We start from the raw sequence: 2,027 nt of genomic DNA, 5'->3' as shown, positions 1-2,027 counted from the left end.
GAGCCATGCAACAGAGCAACAGCCTATCTGCTGGCTAACACTCTTAAGTTTTACCTACCGGATTGTGGCCCAAAATGCAACACCAAAATATTTTGCCAGTTATAGCATCCGTGAAAAATAAGGCAAAGACTAGGGCCAGCACCCTGCTACAGCCGATGCATGTGAGCCCAGCTGTGCTGCTGCAGCTGCTGGTGCACACGAGTGAGCATGGACCCTGCTGACACTGCCCCAGTGGAACGCCTTGGCCAGCAACCCCCAATGGAGTGTTGTGGCCAGCAGACTGGAAACACCTTGGCCCATCCAGTGCCAGAGGTTACTAATCTCAATGGGCCAGAGACAAAGTCAGGGACCTGGTACCAGTCCCCCAGAACTAGAGTGCACAGCCCAGGAGTGCTGAGCTGAGTCTTGGTCCTCTGAAATCTTCTAGAATTGAATCCAGTTGACTGAACCCATCTTATACCACAATCAAACCCCTAAAGGCCTCAAAGAAGATAAAGGAAAGGACAGCAACATTAAAGATTAAAGGGACTTGAGCCCACACAGATTAAAAAGAACCAGCACAGCCGGGCATGGTGGCTCACGCCTGTAATCCCAACACTCTGGGAGGCTGAAGCGGGTGGATCACCTGAGGTTGGGAGTTCGAGACCAGCCTGCCCAACATGGAGAAACTCCATCTCTACTAAAAATATAAAATTAGCCAGGCATGGTGGCACATGCCTGTAATCCCAGCTACTCAGGAGGCTGAGGCAGGAGAATCGCTTGAACCCAGGAGGTGGAGGTTGTGGTGAGCTGAGACGGCACCATTGCACTCTGGCAACTCAAAAAGCCAGAGTGTCTTTTAACTTCCAAATGATCACACTAGTGCCCTAACGATGGTCCTTAAATAGTCTGAAATGACTGGAATGTCAAACATACATTCCAGAATATAGATAGGAATGAAGATACTTGAGATCCAGGAGAAAGTTAAAACCTAATCCAAGGAATCTAAGGAACACAACAAAATGATAGAGGAGCCAAAAGACAAAATAGTCATTTTAAAGAAAGAATCAAACTGATATGATAGAACTGGAAAGCTTACTACAAGAATTTCGTAATACAATTGCACGTATTAACAGCAGAAAAGACCAAATGGGGAAAGAATCTCAGAGCTTAAAGATTGGTACTCCAAATTATCTCAATCAGACAAAACAAGAAAAAAAGAATAAAAAAAGATGAACAGCTGGGCGCGGTGGCTCACGCCTGTAATCCAGCACTTTGGGAAGCTGAGACTGGCAAATCACGAGGTTGGGAGTTCGAGACCAGCCTGACCAACATGGAGAAACGCCATCTCTACCTAAAAATATAAAATTAGCCAGGTGTGGTGGTGCATGCCTGTAATCCCAGCTACTCAGGAGGCTGAGGCAGGAGAATTGCTTGAACCTGGGAGACAGAGGTTGCAGTGAGCCGAGATCACACCACTGCACTCTAGCCTAGGCGACAGAACGAGACTCCATCTCACAAAAAAAAAAAAAAAAAAAAAAAGAACAAAACCTTAGAGAAATTTAGGATTATTTACTTTTTACTTTATATATATTTTAAAGACAAGGTCTCACTGTCACCCAGACTGGAGTGCAGTGGTGTTATCTCAGCTCACTGCAACCTCCACCTCCCAGGCTCAAGCAATTCTCCTGCCTTAGCCTCCCGAGTAGCTGGGATTACAGGCATGCACCACCACGCCTGGCTAATTTTTGCATTTTTAGTAGAGACTGGGTTTCACCATGTTGGTCAGGCTGGTCTCAAACTCCTGACCTTGTGATTTGCCCGTCTTGGCCTCCCAAAGTGCTGGATTACAGGCGTGAGCCACCGTGCCTAGTTGTTCATTCTTTTTTATTCTTTTTTCTTGTTTTGTCTGATTGAGATAATTTGGAGTCTTTAAGCTCTGAGATTCTTTCCCTACTTGGTCTTTTCTGCTGTTAATACTTGCCTCCCAAAGTGCTGGGATTACAGGCGTGAGCCACTGCACCCAGCTGAAATATAGGATTATTTAA

The 2,027-nt window shown here is 45.9% G+C and overlaps 1 annotated feature.

The window, feature by feature from the left end:
* Positions 414-645: a silencer, noted in NCBI's record as "fragment chr10:81754777-81755008 (GRCh37/hg19 assembly coordinates)". NCBI's record gives its function as "represses an EF-1alpha promoter that drives an FKBP-Casp9 reporter gene in an ReSE screen in K562 erythroleukemia cells {active_cell/tissue: K562}" and the evidence as "EXISTENCE:reporter gene assay evidence [ECO:0000049][PMID:32094911]".

This window comes from Homo sapiens, chromosome 10 (genome assembly GCF_000001405.40).
Source record: "Homo sapiens chromosome 10, GRCh38.p14 Primary Assembly".
In the NCBI taxonomy this organism is placed as follows: Eukaryota; Metazoa; Chordata; class Mammalia; order Primates; family Hominidae; genus Homo; species Homo sapiens.
Note: the sequence above shows the minus strand (reverse complement) of the source record. Positions and strands in the feature narration are given on the sequence as shown.